The sequence below is a fragment of the Homo sapiens genome, chromosome 12 (assembly GCF_000001405.40).
Source record: "Homo sapiens chromosome 12, GRCh38.p14 Primary Assembly".
In the NCBI taxonomy this organism is placed as follows: domain Eukaryota; kingdom Metazoa; phylum Chordata; class Mammalia; order Primates; family Hominidae; genus Homo; species Homo sapiens.
The window spans coordinates 29,942,668-29,963,830 of NC_000012.12; the positions used below are offsets into that span (position 1 = coordinate 29,942,668).

The 21,163-nt window shown below is 37.7% G+C and overlaps 1 long non-coding RNA gene across 3 annotated transcripts in view, besides 1 other annotated feature; it reads right to left on the reverse strand.

The window, feature by feature from the left end:
• LOC105369715 (uncharacterized) overlaps nucleotides 1-21,163 on the reverse strand; it is a 182,759-nt gene that overhangs the window by 73,930 nt on the left and 87,666 nt on the right. For all 3 annotated transcript variants that reach the window (XR_931474.1, XR_001749060.1, XR_001749061.1), the window contains exon 4: nucleotides 257-373. This is a non-coding gene — a long non-coding RNA (uncharacterized LOC105369715). The remainder of the gene's footprint in view (nucleotides 1-256; nucleotides 374-21,163) is intronic.
• Nucleotides 6,610-6,826: a silencer, noted in NCBI's record as "fragment chr12:30102210-30102426 (GRCh37/hg19 assembly coordinates)". NCBI's record gives its function as "represses an EF-1alpha promoter that drives an FKBP-Casp9 reporter gene in an ReSE screen in K562 erythroleukemia cells {active_cell/tissue: K562}" and the evidence as "EXISTENCE:reporter gene assay evidence [ECO:0000049][PMID:32094911]".

Below are 21,163 nucleotides of genomic sequence, written 5' to 3' on the forward strand. Positions count from 1 at the left end.
TGAAAAGGTGCTCAACATCATAAATCATCAGAAAAATACAAATCAAAACCATAATGAGATATCACAGGACACATATTAGGATGGCTATTACAGAAAAGACAAGAGATAACAAGTACTGGTGAAGGTGTCGAGAAAAGAGAACCCTTATACACTGTTGGTAGGAATGTCGATTGGTAGCCATTATAAAAAATAATATGATGTTTCCACCCAAAATTTTAGAAAGAGCTACCTTATGATCCAGCAATGCTGGGCTCACCTCCATGCTCTGTATCCATCCGTCTGTCTCACTCCTCCCTTTTGTTCAAGTCTATCAATTTGATGATGCCTTACTCTAGGTCTTCTTGATACTTCCACGGAAATATCTGTGGAATTTCTGAAGACATTAATAAGAACCAATGTAAGAATATACTTGAAGGTATTATGTAACTACTAAGTAATACTATTGTTATAGAACAGCACAATTATTAAATAATTATGGCTAATGGAAAAGGTCTCAGACCATTTAAGCCTAATATTTTTCTAATTTTTAAAAATTGGAAATGTGAGTTCCAGAAATAACAGATTAATGGACACCTCAGTCACAGGCGAAATATTAGAAGGAATTATGATACCCATGGTTTTTTTGGTCACTAAGGGTAGGAAATACGATCAATAGAAGCAATAAGAACAAGTCATTCCAAAGTAACCATAATTTTGATAGACTTTGTTAGCTTAGATTAGGGAAATGCTTTCAGCAAGGAACCAGACCAAAAAAAAATCTCATGGTAATTAGCATAGATGAGACTAAGAACTGTGAGTTGGATGATAATAAAGTAGGTAAATTCATAGCTGAATGAATAACTGCCTCCAAAAATCTTGATTAAAATAGAGGTCAGTTTGAAGAGAAGAGTCCACAGACAAGCCACAAGCTTACCATCAGTGCTGCTCCATTTAATACTTTTAATCAATGACTTAAGTAAATATTCAAAAGGCATTCTTATCAAATTTGTAAATTAAAATAGCTAGAAAAGCTAATTAAGACGATGATGGGCAGAGTAAAAATCAAGAAATCCCAGGAAACATAAAGTTTCAAGCTGAAATCAAGAAACTGAAATGAAATACAGCCAAATGTGAATGCTTTCACTCAGATTTATTTCACCATGGTGGCAACATAGCCTAACAAAAGTTCACATTAAAACAACAACAAGAATAGAGATTTATGTTGGCTGCATCTCCCATCTGAGCCACAGTCATGTGGATGCAAAAAATATTTGTTCAGGGTAGATTACAGATCATTCCAGTGCCAAGCAAGTAAATGTTCTTTCATTCCCTGAACTTACCGAACTACAGTTTGAAAGTTATTTTAGATTCTGTATACCATGTTTTGAGGGGAGAAATAAATAATCTGAAGGCTAGGCAAGGCAATTTTACCAGAAAGATAATGGTATGGAAACACAGGTATATATGGAACACACTTTAAAAAATAGAGCATTTGGTTTAGGAAAGACAATTAGAGAAACTATGTGATAGCTATGCCCCAAAACTTAATAGGCTTGCAGGTGGAAGAAGGGCAGGGCCCATCAGGTGTAAATTACAGGGAGCTTGATTTCAGCTAAGTAAGTATAGGGAAGAGCTTTCTAACCATTTGATTGGTCCAAAAATAGAATATGTTTCTTTGTGTAACAGTAAGATGCATCTTCCTGGAAGTTTTCAGGCAAATGCTGGATAATTCCCTTTGCAGTGTGTTATATATGGGATTCCTATATTTTGTAGGAGGTTGAATTCAGAAAAGAAAAATAATGCTGATGTATGCTATTGTCCTTATAATCCTCTTTTCTCTCCGTAACTGGATATGCACGCACATCTACAGTAAGCATGGACAGTGTATGTGTGGACAGACAGTGTCACTGAAAAAGAACAGGTGGCTAGACAAAAGACTTCACAAGTTGTGACAGATTGATGAAAATTTGTAAACAATGATTTCATATAGTGTGGGTACCTGAAATGCTGGGATGATAAAAAAAAGTGGTAGCATCACAAAAGGAATTGTTTGTTTCTAAAGGATGTTGGGTCAAGAGGGTTTTTTGTTAATAGATTATCTGTACTTTGCATGGGTATAGGAGTATACCCCAGTTATTACAGAATTCAAAACATGATGATGTAATCATGAAAGTCAGAGAGGGGTGGCTGATCCTGAGTCATGCCCACTGGTGGCTATTCTGCCTCTTTGATGCTAAAGTCAATTGCCCAAAAGGCTTAAGAAGAAATCTTTCTGATTTTGCATTTATTTTTCAGATCTCATAGCATTTTAGAGTCACATTTAACATAAGAAAGATTTGCAAGGGATGCCACCTTTGGATATAGAACAGGATTATGGTCTTACTAATTCTCTTTTTCTTTAAATTTGCTTACAACTTCGAATATGTGAAATAAACACTTTCATATCAATTTACATTTGAGGTTCACTAAAATTAAATCTATCATATTATTGATTGTAAAATATGACATCTATCATTTCTTAAACGTAAATGAAGACAAAAATATTTATTTTTTATCTTTTAAAAACTTCCATCTTCTGAAAAGTTTTCAATAGTAAGATGAATGCAAAGATAAGCAAAAAGAAACTGAAATCAATTTCAAGGTCACTCAACTTAAAACAGTAACTTTTCAGCAATGTGGAGTTCACCAACTTAGAATCATAATCATTCCAAGGTTAAGGTTCAATTTTGCATTATCTGAGAAGGTTCGGTTAAAACTTCAGAGTGTTATTGAAGACATAAATCCATTTTAAAATATTTAGACTTTATTTGCACTGGGAATACAGTACTAATTATAATAGAGATTTATGTCATTCATTACAATATTGATTTGTACTGTGTTGATATTGAAGGGGATAAGTAGCAGGAACTGATGAAATTTTGGAACTGGAAGAGAAAAATTAATTTTGAATAGTTTTTAGTCTTTGAAAACTGAGACCTGGAGAGGTCAAACCTCTGCTGTACCCCATGAACCTGGTTACTGGGGGAGCTAGATCTAAAAGCCAGGACTCCAGGTTCACCATCGAATGCTCTGTACATCACATGGAAGGGTAAATGAAATCCAAAGTACACTAAGTCAGGAAAAACTGCACTACAATGAGTGCTTGGCGTATACAACGAACCACATGAAGCTCTTGAGGGAGAAGTAAATACACCAAAAAGCATAGTGCTTTTCTTCCAGAAATGGATCATCTTAGCTCAGGAGACAAGCCTGCAAACCTAGAAATCAATACAAGATTTAAGTCACGGTTCAATATGTTCATACAGAAACTACATGACTAGTTTGCTCATTGATGTATGTACCAGAAATGTTTCAAGAATACTGAACAAAGTTGGCGAGGTGTAAGAATGCTCTTTGGGGGAAAGGGACGTTGAACTGGATCTTGGAGAATGGGTGGAATCATGGAAGATGACATCATAGGAAGATGAATCTGTATGAGTAAATATAAATCACATTCACATCTGTAAAGTATTCCCAAAATACACGAGTGTGTTATCATTTCTATTTGGTAAGAGTAATTTTTGTTTGGGAGAGCAATTACATGTTTATCATCTATCCTTGCTGAGTTCAGCGAGGGAAAAAGAAACAAACTGGGAACTATTAGTTGCATGCTTTACTCATTTTTTTTCTTACCCTTATGTCCTTTCTTTCCGCAAAGGAATTGAAGCAGCATGTGAAAAGCTAGATAAAGATTGTATAAAATTAATTACTAAGGGAAAATAATAAATGCAGGAGTAAATGTAAGACTACCCAACAGAAAAGCACAGTATACAAGGCCATTCATCAGAGTCACAGATCCAGCTAAAAAAGATGCTTATCCGTTAGGGAAAAACAGATCTATAATTCAGGAGAGGGCATTTGTCCTTGTGTTTGCATAGAGAAATCACCTGATGATGGACTAGGTGATGGCCTTACCATCTCTAAACCTATAACTCTAATGAGTAATTCACATGAATATTTCTTATAATGCTTCTCAGCGCAGGACAAGAACATTAGCTGGAGCACAGCCTGCTAAAAGCAATTTTATGAAGGATGCCAAACAGTGTGCCTTGCATGCCCCAGATCTCTGGTGATCTGGACATCTTGATACAAGAGTAAAATTTATAACACCTACAAGAGGGGAGAACTACACATTCTTCAGTCTGTGCTCATTCATTCCTGCCACAAATTTAATTGAGCAGTTATTATGTGATGGTCACTAGGCAGATCGCAGTAAATTATATTCTATTGCAGGGATGAATAAAGCAAATGAGTAAGTGCTATATGATGAATGCTGTGAAAAAATCTAAACCAGGAGGTGGTGTTGCTATTCTGGAATGAGTCTTTATAAAAGCACTTTTACATATGATAATACTTGAGTAGGGACATGAATGAAATGAGGAAGGAAGGTATAGGGATATTTGGGATAAAAGTGAGCATAGAAAACAGCACAAAACCCTAAATAATGGTCTACTGAAATAATAGCAGGAAGACCAGTAGGCTAACCTCTTTATAAATCTTACGTCTCAAAACTGGGTTTTGATGAGAATTTCACAGAAGAGAGTTCCAAGGATGTAGTCTCTGGTGAGAACATGTACTGGAAATCTGCTCAGCTGCAAACTAAGGAACATGTCATGTTCTTGAATATCAGCCAGGTAGAGGGCAGGGTAAGAGTCCTTTTTGAAAATAAAAGAAGGCCAGGTGGGCCTGGAGACGCTCACAAAAGTGATAGATATTGGACAGAACCAATATCATCTGCAAAGAGCAGTTGTGTGTCTACTTCAATACACTGGCAAATGGGTGCAGGAGACCCAGTGGTGTATACCACAGAGCACAGCTGACCTTATTTTAGTTAAGATATATTTTTAAAACACCCTCCTGCTTTAAAATCCCATACCACAGCCATGGAAAAGTCTCCTAAAATATCCATAGACTGTCCCAATTTCTTCCAGGATTAACTGACTACATATTATAGTCTTATGTAACTGACCTACTGCATAGAACCATTTACTAGCTATGAGCTGATTGAATGCTGTGGGGCATCTGTCAAAAAGTTGAGTTCGATTTTAAAGTTATTATCTCTGGCAAAAAAAAAAATCATAGGATCTCTTGTCTATTTGGGGTACTTCTTACTATTATCAAAACTATGTAATTGTTTTAGAGAAGATGATTTATATTTTTAATCTCAGTAGCAGGGGACATGCATCTAGAATATTGAAAAACAGCGTCAAATCATTTACATAAAAGTAAAAAAGGAGGAGAAGTAAACCACACGTGTAGGGGGCCATTAGAAATATTATCTCTTAGGAGGCCATCATCACAACCTTCCATGATCCTCTAAGAGGCATTAAGGTGCAAATTTTATAAGAATATAAAATTCGATCCATTTGAGTTGTGAGGTAACCAATTCCTAAGCAAAGCCTGAAGAAAGATTAATAAAAGCTGCAAGCAATCACAGCTTTTATTGTTCATGAAATACTTTTCCCCAAGATGATAGAGAATATATCAATAAAATGAATTATCCTGACCTAAAACTCACCTACTCTAGAGTGGGAAATATTTGTGTAAGAAATCTAGACTTATAATTTTTATCAAAAGCAAATGATCATGGTGATTAGTGTCAGTTAAGAGCCTCCAAATTAAAGCCATTATATGAAAATGTGTATTTACAGAAATCTTAATTTATACATTTTATAAATCATCACTTATAAAAATTGACAATAAATTAAGAAAATTGTGTGAAATTAAATGGAAACAATTACCTGCTCATCAATAAAGCAGCAGAGCTTGAATACCCATATGCAAACTCTGGACCATATTTAATTAAACACTTTAGTAAGGTGTCTTGGTCTATTTGCACTGCTATAACAGAATATCACAGACAGGGTAATTTATAAAGAGGAGAAATTTATTTCTCACCGTTCTGGAAACTAGCAAGTCCAAGATCAAAGCACTGGCAGGTTTGGTTGTCTAGTGAGGGCTGCATCCTCTGGAGGGGGAGAATACTGTGTCCTCACATGGCAGAGGAGCAGAAGAGCAACCTAACTGAACCCTGTGTGAAGGCTCTTTCATAAGGGCCTTCAATCGCATTCACAAGGGAGGAGCCCTCATCACCTCATCACCTCTTAACAGCCCTACTTCTTAATACTATCCCATTGGCAACACCTGAATTTTGGAGGGGAGCCACTGAAACCATAGCAATAAGCTATCACCTTTCTGCTATGGTTTCAGTGTCTTTTCCTGAGATCTGTAGATTATTAACAACACTTCATCTAAATACTAAGATGTTTTCTCCTGAGATCTGTATATTATTAATAACACTTTGTCTAAATACTTTGAATAGGCTTCAATACTTCATTGCTTTTCTTTAAGGCTAGTGATTTACTATGAATTTCCCCTGAAGTCAATTAAACCAGGCTTTCTCAAGGGGCCAACAAATTCTCTCCCTCTGAATGTTCAGTAGAAAGAGATTTTAAGATTCAAGTGAGGCTGCAGGTAATTCTCCAGTTTTTCTACTGCATTTCTGCTATGCTATTTGGGAATATTGTTTGGTATTATACAAGTTATTCACAAGAGTTTCACCTGACCTTCAGCAGAGCATCTTCCAGGGGCAATACCGGTGTCCTCCAGGCCGGTTCCACAATGCTCTGGAAGATGGTTGGGACCCTAAGGCCGTAATCACACCACTGCAGGCTGTACTCCAAGGGTGCAAAGACACCTGCCAGGGACATGACTGGCCATGTATCAAGGATGGATAAATTTCATGCACAATTTATGAAACGTGAGGCATGTGCAACATCAGCAGAAAAGAAAGATCAGCTATTCTAATGCTGTATTTTTGTTGGAAGAAGCTACCTCTGTCTCCCACTGCTGGCTCAGAGGAACCTGGCCCAAGTCCTAGAAGTGACCACTTTCTTGATGAAGATTTTCTTTTGTTGGTGCTGCAGGGAGCCATTATCCAGGTATTAATAATTGTCTTTACAGCCAAAACATACAGACATTGGTTTCCTAGGCTATTAATTGAACCTCACAAATGCTGCTTGAGCCCCTGCTCAGTGCTGGGCACTGTCGTTGGCATGTAGGGGAGTGAAGGGTGGAGCCCTCTGAACAACAGAGAGCATCTAACCTGGGCTTACTATTTACAGTAAGCAATCATTTACTGAGCATCACTCTGCACAAAGCATGTGCCTACATTGTTACGTCAAGCTATTCGTTTAACTCTCACAAGATCTCATGAGCTGAGTATTACCATCCTGTTGCTATTACGCCCCTTTTCCCCGTGAGATGCTTTGGACTTGGGAAAGTGAAGTGGCATGTATGGTCACATGGCAGTCCTGACTCTGGGTGCAGTGTCTGCATCCCCTGTACCCTTTCATTCTTAACAAACACTTTCTTCTCCCAGCACCTTCACTGCACAGAATGCAGCTCATCAACGTCCATCTTGGCATCACCTGGAGCTTGTTACAAATAAAGGGTCTTCTCAAGGATCTAGAACCAGAAATACCATTTGACCCAGCAATCCCATTACTGGGTATATACCCAAAGGATTATAAATCATTCTACTATAAAGACACATGCACACGTATGTTTATTGCAGCACTGTTCACAATAGCAAAGACTTGGAACCAACCAAAATGCCCATCAGTGATAGACTGGCTAAAGAAAATGTGGCACATATACACCATGGAACACTATGCAGCCATAAAAAACGATGAGTTCATGTCCTCTGCAGGGACATGGATGAAGCTGGAAACCATCATTCCCAGCAAACTAACACAAGAACAGAAAACCAAACACCGCATGTTCTCACTTATCAGTGGGAGCTGAACAATGAGAACACATGGACACAGGGAGGGGAACATCACACACCAGGGCCTGTTGGGGGGTCGGGGGCAAGGGGAGGGAGAGCATTAGGACAAATACCTAATGTAGATGACGGGTTGATGGATGAAGCAAACCACCATGGCACATGTTTACCTATGTAACAAACCTGCACGTTCTGCGCATATATCCCAGAACATAATGGAAAAAAAAAAAATACAGGGTCTCAGGCTTCACCCAGACTCACTGACAGACTCTGTACTTTTATTTATTTATTTATTTATTTATTTATTTATTTATTTATTTATTTTTGAGATGGCGTCTAGCTCTGTCGCTCATGCTGGGGTGTAGTGGCACCATCTCGGCTCAGTGCCAGCTCTGCCTCCTGGGTTCAAGTGATTTTCCTGCCTCAGCCTCCCAGGTAGCTGGGGTTACAGGTGCGTGCCACCATGCCTGGCTAATTTTTTTTTTCTATTTTTAGTAGAGATGGGGTTTCACCGTGTTAGCCAGGATGGTCTTGATCTCCTGACCTCGTGATCCACCCGCCTTGGCCTCCCAAAGTGCTGGGATTACAGGCGTGAGTCACCATGCCCGGCCCAGACTCTAACAAGATCCCAGCAGGTTGTCTGCCTGCTGGATTTCAGTGGAACCACTCCATGAATGATCAAAGCAGCAGAGAGCAGCACCTGCTACAAAAGCCCCACCTCTCCCTTCTTTGCAGGATGAAATTCTGTAGAGAGAAAGCTCATTTTGACCCATATATTTTTGTTCTTTAGTGCCCTCATTACAAGGTGATTGCATGTAGAAGTCAGTTTGCTCTCACAGACCTTGGAAAAAATTGTATTTCCCATAAACAGACTTTAGATGTAATGATTCATTTTAGCAAACATTTATCATGTCTTCTGTGCCAGGCACAGTGTGAGGTGCAGGCCTTAGTGATTTCCCAAAGGAAGTGGCCAAACATGCTACTCCCTGCTTATTGGGATTCAGCCAATTCCTGGTCTTAAAGTTGTTTGTTTATAAGAAAATTGTATCTGCAGTTCCCTTAATGCTGCTTTCTTGTCAATTCATTCATTAGTTAACAGACATTTAAAGAATGTGTGCAAGACACTACAGAAGTCTTTTTTGTTTATACATAATCAGCTTTTACATTAAAGTATACCCTGAAGTAATTCTTCAATGAGCACATATTTTTAAAATGAAGTTTTTTGTTGTTATTGTTGTTTGAGTTCTGGCAATTTTATTATGAATTTTATGGCTAAGAGAGTTCTTCCAGTTTAAGTATTTTGAAACTTTTAACCAATTTCTTCCTTGAAAATCTGTCTCAAAGAAGAGTAAACTTAGAAATCAAATGATGAGGCCAGGCACGAAGGCTTACACCTGTAATCCCAGCACTTTGGCAGGCCAAGGCAGGTGGATCACGAGTTCAGGAGTTTGAGACCAGCCTGGCCAACATGGTGAAACCCTGTCTCTACTAAAAATACAAAAATTAGCTGGGCTTGGTGGTGCACACTTGCAATCCTAGCTACTGGGGAGGCTGGGGAAGGAGAATGGCTTGAACCCAGGAGGCACAAACATACACTGAAAACATGATGCTAATGGCTCTTGCAGTGAGCTGACATCGTGCCACTGCACTCCAGCCTGGATAACAGAGCAAGACTCCATCTCAGAAAAAAAAAAAAAAAAAAGAAAAAGAAAAAGAAAAACAAACAAATGCTGAAACTTTGTAGGATTTATTGGCTCCACAGCAATTTAACTTGAAAGATTTTCAAATTCAGCAGAAAAATAGAAAAGACAGCAATTTGATAGTGTTTAATTTATTTGATTTTATCCAAGGACTGACCTCTTACATAACAAGCCTGTTAGAGTACCTGGCATTTCACAGGGGTGATGAATTTAAATATTTCAGATCCCCATTAAACATTTATTTGTCATATCAAGATGTATTTTCAAAGTCACTCACTGGACACTCTATTTCTTTGGGGGAATCTGTACCTCTAAAAAGCCCATGAAGGACAGATTCACTACAAATAAAAGCATCCCATCACGTAACTTAATTTGGCCTTGGAGTGTTACAGAATGCCAAGCCTTCAGGTACAGAGAATATTTCCTCTTAGATCTACATTGCAGACTGACTCTATGTTGGCTTGGGAGCTTTTGTGGAGTCAATAGATACTGAAGACCAACAAATTTGGTTCACACCACTTTGAAAGATGTTAAAAAAAAATTTTCTAAAGAAGTCATCCATCCCAAGAGGCGTGTTGATGGTAATTGATTATCTTTTAATCAAATGTTTTTAGGTATATTTACAGACAATAAATGTGTGCAATTCTGTATACAGTTCCATGAGTTTTCATAAATAGATATATACCCATGTAACCGTCACCTCAATCATTCCCATCACCCCAGAAATTTACTTATTTACTGTCCATTTTCTTTCTCCCAGATACCATGCTTAGTGATCTATAATGTGTCACAATTCTCATTAAACACTTTGAAATAGACAATAGTACTTCCTTTCCAAAATAAAAAACGAAATGGTTAGGGAGATCATAGCATTTGCCCAGTCGCTGAGCTACTTACTCAGTGACAACACTGAAATGCCTGACTCCAGTTCCTTAATCAGACCTGATCATATTAACCTATTACAACTCCTTGACCCCAGTGATCTGCGCATAGTGGCAAGTCAACAAATGTTTGCTAAATAGATAAAAAAGAGTGTTACAATTTTGTATATTTCTAACTCTTAGTATATCTCCCTATATAAGTTATCCTGTTTTCAAATGATGTTGGTGAACATTTTAGGTACTTTGTTCATGTGTCTGGATTGGTGTAGCCTTGCAAATCGCAGAGACATGTTCCTAAAGAAAGCAAAGTAATCCCTACTTCACTTGGAATAATAAGAAACTAAAAATTAGAACCTCCAATTATTGAGCATTTACTACTTGCCAGGCTCTGCTGTTTACCCTATTCCCATTTAGTGTTCAAGAGCACAGTCTCTAAATCCTGACTTCTTGGGTTCAAATCCCAACTCTCCTTCTTATTAGCTGTGTTTTTCAGGTATATTATTTTAGATTCATATGTTTCAGTTTCTGTATCTTTGAAATGGGGTAATAATAGTACCTACATAATTCATGAGAATTAAGCAGTTGGAAATGCTTAGAAAAGTGCCTGGCATACACTTCTCAAAAGAAGACATTTATGCAGCCAAAAAAACACATGAGAAAATGCTCAACATCACCGGCCATCAGAGAAATGCAAATCAAAACCACAATGAGATACCATCTCACACCAGTCAGAATGGCAATCATTAAAAAGTCAGGAAACAACAGGTGCTGGAGAGGATGTGGAGAAATAGGAACACTTTTACACTGTTGGTGGGACTGTAAACTAGTTCAACCATTGTGGAAGTCAGTGTGGCCATTCCTCAGGGATCTAGAACTAGAAATACCATTTGACCCAGCCATCCCATTACTGGGTATATACCCAAAGGAGTATAAATCATGCTGCTATAAAGACACATGCACACGTATGTTTATTGCAGCACTATTCACAATAGCAAAGACTTGGAACCGACCCAAATGTCCAACAATGATAGACTGGATTAAGAAAATGTGGCACATATACCATGGAATACTATGCAGCCATAAAAATGATGAGTTCACGTCCTTTGTAGGGACATGGATGAAATTGGAAATCATCATTCTCAGTAAACTATCTCAAGAACAAAAAACCAAACACCGCATATTCTCACTCATAGGTGGGAATTGAACAATGAGAACATATGGGCACAGGAAGGGGAACATCACACTCTGGAGACTGTTGTTGGGTGGGGGGAGGGGGGAGGGAGAGCATTGGGAGATATACCTAATGCTAGATGACGAGTTAGTGGGTGCAGCGCACCAGCATGTCACATGTATACATGTGTAACTAACCTGCACATTGTGCACATGTACCCTAAAACTTAAAGTATAATAATACAAAAAAAAAAAAAAGAAAAGTGCCTGGCATATATGAGGCAATTTGGGGGTTGGAGGGGGAGTTACTATTATCTATCTCATTGAAACATTTTAAAAATTTCAATTAAAACCTATCTTTCCACTTTTAAAATTACATTCCAAAATCAAGGAAGATATTGTGGTTCATACTGCCCCACAGAAAATTTAAGTAACACTTCAGAATAGTTTTTCCCTGTGTAAGAATTTTCAAATATCTGAACAGACTTTTGACAGAATCTTCATATTATATCCACGTATAAAATACATGTAGAAACCACAGAATTGCAATAAATGTAAAATAACACCACTAACAAACTAGAGTCATTAACTGTGGAAACCCCATTCTCAAGTAAACACTGAGGTGAGGGAGTCTAAATGGCAAACCAATAGCTCACAGTCCACTCAGCTGACATTAGAGTCAGGCAAAGATGTGAACCTGCATTTTGTAGAGTGAATATTTAGCTAAGAAAAAAATAAACAGGATGGTGAAAGACTGAACATTTTTCCCCTAATATCTGTTCTCGCCACTTCTAGTCAACATTTTATTGCAGGTAACAGCCAGGGCAATTAGGTAATAAAATAAAATAAAATGCATTTGGATTGGAAATGAAGAAGTAAAACTATCTGTATTGTAATATCTGGTAGATAGAAAATCCTATGAAATCCTCTAAAACTATTAGAACTAATAAATGAGTTCAGCAAGTTTGCACCATACCAATATCAATGTACAAAAATGAATTGTTTTTCTATACAGTATCAATAAGCAAACTTGCAATGAAATTAAGAAAACAACACCATTTAGAATGGCATCAGAAAGGATTAAATACTTAGGGGTAAACATAACAAAAGACATGTTAAACTCATATTCTGAAAATTCCAAAACAACATTGTTAAAAGAAATTACTGAAGACCTAAATAAATAAAAAGAGATTCAATGTTCATAGATCAAAAGATTCAATATTGTTACAATGAAAATATTCCCAAAATTAATGTACAGATTCAATGCAATCTTTATCAAAATATTGGCTGAATTCTTTGCTTGAACTGACAAACTGAAACTAAAATGTATATGGAAATTCAAGAGACCTAAGGTAGCCAAAATAATCATAAGCAGGAAGGACAAAGTTGGAGAACTCACACTTTCCAAATTCAAAACTTACTAAAAAGCAACACTAATCAAGACAAAGTGGTACTGGCATATGAGTAGACATGTAAATCAGTGGAATGGAATAGAGAATCCTCTAATAAACTCTCACATTTACAATTAATTGCTTTTTGACAAAGTTGCCAAGGCAAGTACATGGGGAAAGAATAATCTTTTCAACAAGTGATGTTGGGATAGCTGGATAGCCTATGCAAGAAAATGAAGTCAGACCCTTACCTCACACCTCACACCATATTCACAAATTAACTCAAAACAAATCAAAGACTTAAATGTGAAAGCTAAATATACAAAACTATTAGAAAAACATAAGTATAAGTCTTCATGATCTCAGATTTGGCAGTGGTTTCCTAAATATAACACCAAAAGCATAAGCATCCAAAGAAATATAAATAAATTAGACTTCACAATCAAAACTTTTGTACTTTAATGAACACTACCAAGGAAGTACAAAGACAACTCACAGAATGGGATAAAAGTTTTGAAAATTATATATCTAATAAGGGACTTATATCTAGCATATATAAAGACCTTTTATAACTCAATAAGAGGAGACAAGGAACCCAATTAAAATATCTGAATAGGATCCTGCATAAGCAAAGGGTATGACTAGATATTTTCCCAAAGAAGACATATGAAGAGCCAATAAGTACATGAAAGAATGCCAAACATTATTAGTCAATAGGGAAATGCAAATCAAAATTGTGATGAAATACCTCTTCAAACACACTAAGATGGTTATAATGAAAAAGTCATATAATGACAAGTGTTGTTGAGGATATGGAGAAATCTAACCCTCAAACACTGTTGGTGGGAATGTAAAATGGTATGGCCTCTTTGGAAAGCAATGGCAGTCTCTCAAAAAGTTAAACATAGACTTATTTCACCCAAAAATTCTACTCCTACATACCCCAAGAAAACGGAAAGCATACATCCATACAAAACTTTGTCTATGAATGCTCATAGAAGCATGATTAATAATAGTCAAAAGGTGAAAGTAACCCAAATATCCAGTATATCCATACAATGAAATATGATATGGCAATAAAAAGCAATGGAGTGTCAGTATTCATGCTACAGCACAAACATACACTGAAAACATGATGCTAAGTGATAGAAGCCAGTCATAAAGGACCACCCGTTGTAAGATTCCATTGATAAGAAATGTGCAGAATATATAAACCTATAGACACAGAACATAGATTTGTGGTTGCCTAGGGCTAGGAAGGATGGGGGGACAATGGAGAGTGATAGCTAACAGGTATGGTGTTTTTTTCCTGGGGTACCAAAAATATTCTAAAATAGATAGATAGTGGCAATAATTGCACAGTTCTATGAATATACTAACATTACTGAATTTTATACTTTAAATGAAAGAATTGTGTGGTATGCAAATTATATCTCAAATAACTTCTACAAGAATCAGAAACATAAGGGCACAGTAAGTTTAAAACTAAAAGAACAGGAAATTATATATTTTACAAGCTGGAACCCAAAGAAAGATGGCCTGGCTACACTACAATCAGGCAGTAAACTTTAAGGCAATGTATATTACCATCAATAAAGAAGGACATTTAAGTATGATAAAGAGGTCTATCTACTGATGATATCATAATTTTAATTTGCACAAAACCAGTAATAATAGCTTCAAAATATATAAAGGAAAAATTGATTAAAAAAATAGAAAGTGATGCCTCACACCAAAAACAGAAATCTTTAATACTCACAATAGCTAATAGAATGAGCTCATGCACACACACAATCAGGAAGTATACAGATAATTGGAATACCACAATTAACAAACGTACCTAACTGACGTTAGAGAACACCCTTGCCAACAATGACTGAAAATACTCTTTTCCAGTGCATAATAAAACACCTAGCAAAACTGTCCACATGCCAGTCCATAACGTAAACATCAACACATCTCAGAAGATTAAAATCAATCAGAGTATGTTTTTTGATCACAGTGGAATTAGACTGCATATTATTAACAGAATAATAATTAGAAAATCTCCAACTGATTGGAAGTTAAAAGCACATGTCTACATTTCATCATTAGTTCAAGTAAGAATCATGTTGGAAATTAGAAAATACTTTAAAGGAAGTGAAAATGAAGATGCAACATACTAAAATTGTTAAAGTGTAGCTAAAGAAGTGCTTAGAGTGAAATTTTAGTATTAAATGCATGTTAGAAAAGACAAAAGACTAAATTGGTGATTTGAAATTCCGTTTCAAGAAAATAAAAAAGATACAGCAAATCAAGCCCAAAGAAAGTAGACAAAGAGTAATAATAATAATAAATAAAATAAGAAATAACAATAATAATTCCTCTATCCTAGAAATGTATTTTAAAAGGCTGTATGTAAAATGGTTGGCACAGTGCCAGAAGCATAGTTAGGCTGCAATACACATTAGTTAGTTATTTTTATTACCAGCACAGCAACAAGAAAAATGGAAAGATCCATCTCATTTCTCTTCAGGGGCAACATGTGCTTTTGACAGTGTCTGTTTTCGTTGTGATATCCTCTTCCTAGTGGAAAATCAGCTCACAGAGCTTCTGGTGGAAATTTTAAGTGAGCATGGGAAGGAACAAGTGGAACTAACATTTATTGCCTCCTTCTATGTGCCAGACACTCTGCTAGGCACACTGCTCATGTTCTTTTATTCCACCCTTACAAGAACCTAGAGAGGTAGAGATTCATCAGCACATTTCACTTTGGCCACTGAGGCTTCTAGAGGTGAAGCATCTAACCCATCATTCAGCTGGTGAGGGCAGAGGCCGGATTTAGCCATCCGCCTGAGCTTAAACCCAGGGACATGCATGAAACTGAATCATCAAAGTATCCCTTTAGCTATGAGGTAAATGAATCCTGGCTAAATCAGTATATTCTTAGCTGCCTTCCCTTTTGGGTCCCAACCTGGGAGCATTGTTTTTATGCTTCCCTCAATCCCAAAAGCATTTAACATATATATTTGTGTGCATTTTGGAGTGACGTTGGCTTGGGACTAATCTTCCTCCAGCCCACCTCCAGACACTCACAGCAGCAGAGAACTGGCCCTTCATATGCAGGAGCAAGGCACAGTGTGGAAGGTGTCCTGCTGCCTGGGTGCAGAGCAGTGACCTCACCCAGCTGATGATAAAGGTATGAAGAGTCATTCCAATAGAGCAGGAGTGAAGGGGAGACACTCAGGACTAACGTTTCCTCAGGACCTACTCTGTTCCAGGCCACATGTGAGGTCTGTGTGTGAGCTGCATCTCCATGTCTGCTTCTCTATGACTAGACAGGGTCAGAACTTTCCATCTTTCCATTCCTCAGTTTCCAACTGGGGGGAGAGATGTTAAAGGTGGCTGAAGTTTGACTACGCACACAACATAGAGTGAGCACCCCACATCCTCCCATTGTTGCTACAGTGACCCGAATCTGATACTGTAATCCACTGGGGGTGGGAGGGCATGCAGGTAATCGATCACTTAATGGTAATTATAGTAAGTGTGATCTTCAGATTGAAAAAACAGAATTGTTCTTCAACACCACATAGTATGAATCTGTCCCCATACAGTTCTGTGTGGCTTCTGTAAAAGGTCAAAAGCTATAAAAAGCCAATAAACTGGATGCTATATTTCCATTGCATTGGCCAGAGATGTGATACACAGCCTATTATCCATTTTTTCTTTCTGTATGAAGAACGCATTCAGACTATATAGTAGAGTTATTAGAGAAAACGGATGCTTTAAGAAGATACCCTTCATCAGACTGTTTAGAATTTAAATCTCAAAATTTGGTATTTTAGAAAAGTACTAATATCTAATTTAATCAATAAGTTCATCTGTCAGACAAAAGAAAGCAATAATCTTTTTTGATTGAAAGCGACTTTGTTTTGTGATCCAGCCCCTCCTTCTACCACAAAAGAAAGACAACCAAGATGTAGTAATCTAGAGGGCTTCCCAGCATGCCAGGGTTGCTGCTGCCAAGCCCATGACCAAATCCTTTTATTTCTGCTACTGGCATTTCCTAAATTCTCCCCAAATGTCAATATTTTTACAAAACAAGCTATGTGCTGTCACTTTAAATAAATGTGTTAACAGCCTTAAATAGAAAGCTAAACACTTTATCTAAATTGATAAACTAACAAGTCATCATAACCAAAAGAAAATGTGAAGAAGCTGCTTTTGCTAAATTTCTTGTTCTTAAGACAGAGCCAGGGAACTGAGATGGTGCAAATGCTTTTAGTCATTCAACACATGAGAAAGAAGATTCACTGCTGATAACCAAAGGCAAAATTCCCTCTGAAACCCTCTGAAATATTTACTGGAAAAATTTGCACCGTGTGATCATAATCTAATTTCTAGTAATTGCTCCTTCTATAAAATCTATGATGGAGCTGTTCCTGGTCCCAGTACCCAGCTTTCAGAGATGTGACCTTTTGGAAGTCTCTGGGGGAAACACAGAGAGTGGGATGTAGAGGGTTGCTAGCAAAACATTGGGAAATATTTTATTTATGTCATGATAGACATTTGGATTCATGGGACCAAGAGCATGATTATTTCTCACCTAACCAAAGGTGGACAATCAGAACAGAATTTTTATACGAAAGAAAAATTTATCTTGCCATTGCAACATTTCCCAGTGCCATGGTTCCCCCCCACCACCTCCTCTCATCACCAAGGCAACCAGAGTTATTATGGAAAGTCAGCCAGCCACTGTGCCCTTGGCTCACATTTCCACAGAGAAGTTTTTTTTTTTTTTTTCCTTCGTTAGCTCTTAGCATCTTGATACACTGTCTGTTATCAAGCATAAAATGATCAGGAGAATCCTACTTAGTAGTGTTTCTCAGAATGTAGTCTCAACCCCACTTACATCAGCATCATGTGTGAGGCTTACGAATGCTGATCCCCAGATCCCTTCCCCAGACCCGTTATATCATTGAGGGGCCTAGGGATATGCATTGTAACAGGCACTCCAAGTGATACTTAAGGCTCTAAAATGTAATAACTGCTGATATAAGGGAAAGGTCATAGAGGATTATAATTCCTTACCTATTCATGCTGTTTAACTGATAAGGAAATGCAGCTTTCTAGAGGGAAATCACATTGCTTTATGCCGGAGCAATTTATACTTTTAACCGCTTGTCTTGTTGAACCAGGATCCCTGGTTCCACCCAGTGCCAACTGAACACTCTTAACAAAAGTCCTGAGAGTCATTAGTGTGTTGTCCTCGATACCACATAGGGCAGAGATTAAAAAGCACATTTCACTTCAGCCACTGAGGTTCCTAGAGGTGAAGCATTTAACCCGTCATTCAGCTATGAGGGCAGATCCAGGATTTAGACAGCCACCACCCTAAGTCTAAACCTAGGGACATGCACTAAACTGCATCATCAAAGCATCCATTTAGCTGTGGGGTAAATGCAACCTGGCTAAATTGGGATATTCCTAACTGCCTTCTCATCCAGGTCCCAATGTCAGAGCATTGCTTTTATGCTTTTCCTCAGCCCTGAAAGAACGTAGCACATATATTTGCACACACTTTCAAGTGGCCCTGGCTTGGGACTTGTTTTTTCTCAGCTCACCTCACACACTCCTGGCACAGAACTGGCCACACATATGCAGAAGCAAGGAACAAGGACAGGTGTCCTGCTGCCTGAATGCAGAGCAGTGACCACACTGAGCTGATGATAAAGAAATCAAGAGCTATTCCAAAAGGAGTGAAGGAGAGGGACTCAAGAATAACATATCCTCAGGACCTACTCTACACCATGAATCATCAACGATTCAGGGCATTCTTTTCTCTGACTTCAGACCAAAGTGGGCCTGTGGCTGACTGGACAGAGTACGTACTGAAGTGTTATGTACTTGTATAGCCATTCAACCATTTTTATTGTATTTATTTTTTTCAATACATATGGCCTAGAGATTTCAGATGTTATTAATACGGAAAAACGACCATTAGACTTTGTTACCTATAACATTTACCTGGCCAATTAAGACAGTATTTTAGTTTACTACATTTTCTTTCTGACATCTGCTAATCCAGTTCAAATAGTTAATATGATACTCCTTACAGATGGAGTCTAAAACCATATTTGGCTTCTGGTTTTCTTTAATTATTTATTACATAGTCAAAATAAATGCATTAGGAAGTTTTAATGCAATCTGATACTATCCCAGAGGTGATCTGTATTGTCACAGTGAACAGTCATTCATATTATTAAGAAATTGCATAATCTTTTTCTGAAATTAAAAAAAAATTACAGGTACATAGTAGGTATATATTTTTATGGGGTACACGAAATACTTCGATACAGACCTGCAATAAGTAATAATCACATCATTTTATATGATTTTGAAATATCCTTTCTCCTTTTACATTTAAGTAACCCTTGAAAAACTAGTCCAAGAAGCTTGCTTATCTCCCTAAAATAGAGGTTCCAAATGGCTCCTGTGTTTTCTTTTTTGAAAAAACAGCTTTATTGAGATATAGTTCACATACCATACACTCACCCCTTTGAAGTGTAAAATTCAGTGGCTGTCAGTATATCCACAGAATTGTGCAACTGTTACCACAATTTTAGATTATTTTCATTAACCTCCAAAGCCCTGCAGCCCTTAGATGTCACGCCCCAATTATCCTTCCCCTACCCTCTCTGCCTGGGTAGCAACTCCTCTACTTTCTGTCTCTAGAGATTTGCCTGTTCTAGATTTTTCATGTAAATGGGATCTTGCAATATGTGATACTTTGTGACTGGCTTCTGTCACTTCACATCATGTTTTCAGTGCCTATTCACGTGGTGACATGTATAATAATAGTCCACTTGTATTTATTACTGAATCATATTTTATTACTGCATCGCATTCCCTTGTATGTATACACCACACAGACTCTTTGTCTATTCATCAGTTGATGGGACATTTGGGTTGTTTCTACCATTTGCATATTATGAATAATGCTTCTTTAAGGGTTTGTGAACAAGTTTTTGGGTGGATATATAGAAAAATAAGCATTCTTGTTCTTTTATAGATAAGTCAGGTTTACAGAGAAACTTGAATATGAGGAAATTAAAAAGATTTAAATGAAACACATTTTAGATGACCCAGAAGAGTTCCCACTTTAACCAAATTCTTCAATGATTTCCTTTGTATTCCCTCAAGTTGTATTTAGGTAGATTTGTTTTTCCACTGCCAAGTATTCGGTTTGGCCGGAGGGCTGGGTTTATGCGGTTTCAGAGTGTAGTGAAAACATAGCCACAGAAAGTGGCTGGATTATTGAAATCCTTAAACGCTAAGGCTTTTTTTCTTTCTTTATTATTATTATTATTTTTTTGGCAAGGTCTTGCTCTGTCACACAGGCTGGAGTGCAATGGTGCTATCTCAGCTCACTTCAACCTCCATCTCCTGGATTCAAGCGATTCTACTGCCTCAGCCTCCCAGGTAGCTGGGACTACAGGTGCACTCCACCACACCCGGCTAATTTTTATGTTGTATTTTTAGCAGAGACGGGATTTCACCATGTTGGCCAGGCTGGTCACAAACTCCTGACCGCAAGTGATGTGCTCGCCTCGGCCTCCTGGAGTGCTGGGATTATAGACGTGAGCCACCGTGCCTGGCCTGCTAAGGTTTTTTATGTGTGCAGACAATGGGCAATCATGGATTATCTCTGATGCCCCTACATTTAGAGGTGGTAGAAGAAAAGTAATGACAAGATGCAAAGGCTGCAGAACAGTAACACCGCATGAGCAAAGGAGACAGCTTCAAAAGGAGGGCCATTCAACAACGTCACATTCTTCATCTCATAAAACTCAAGGATTCTGCGGGCTGAGAGAACTTACGTATTCACAAGGGATGTTCAAGAAAGCAGCTTGAACTGAGTGGGTGGGAGGAAGGAGAAGCAATGAGTGCTGACTCCTCTTCATGCCAAGATAGCAACTTGGGAGTGTCTTCAACATTTTGAAGCTAGGAAGGGGGACAATCTGAAGACATGAGAAAAGGAGCAACCATCATGGATGGTGGGGTTGTGGGGAGGAATAGAGAAAGGAACACAGGTGGAAGTGCAGTCTTACAAAAATAAGACAATTTGTTCTCCCAATAAAGAGCAACAGAAGAGGGACTCAAAAACAGGGACACTTTGAGGCAGAGTAAAGGTAAAATGCAATTATTCAGTTTGAGTAACCTCAATATTTTTAG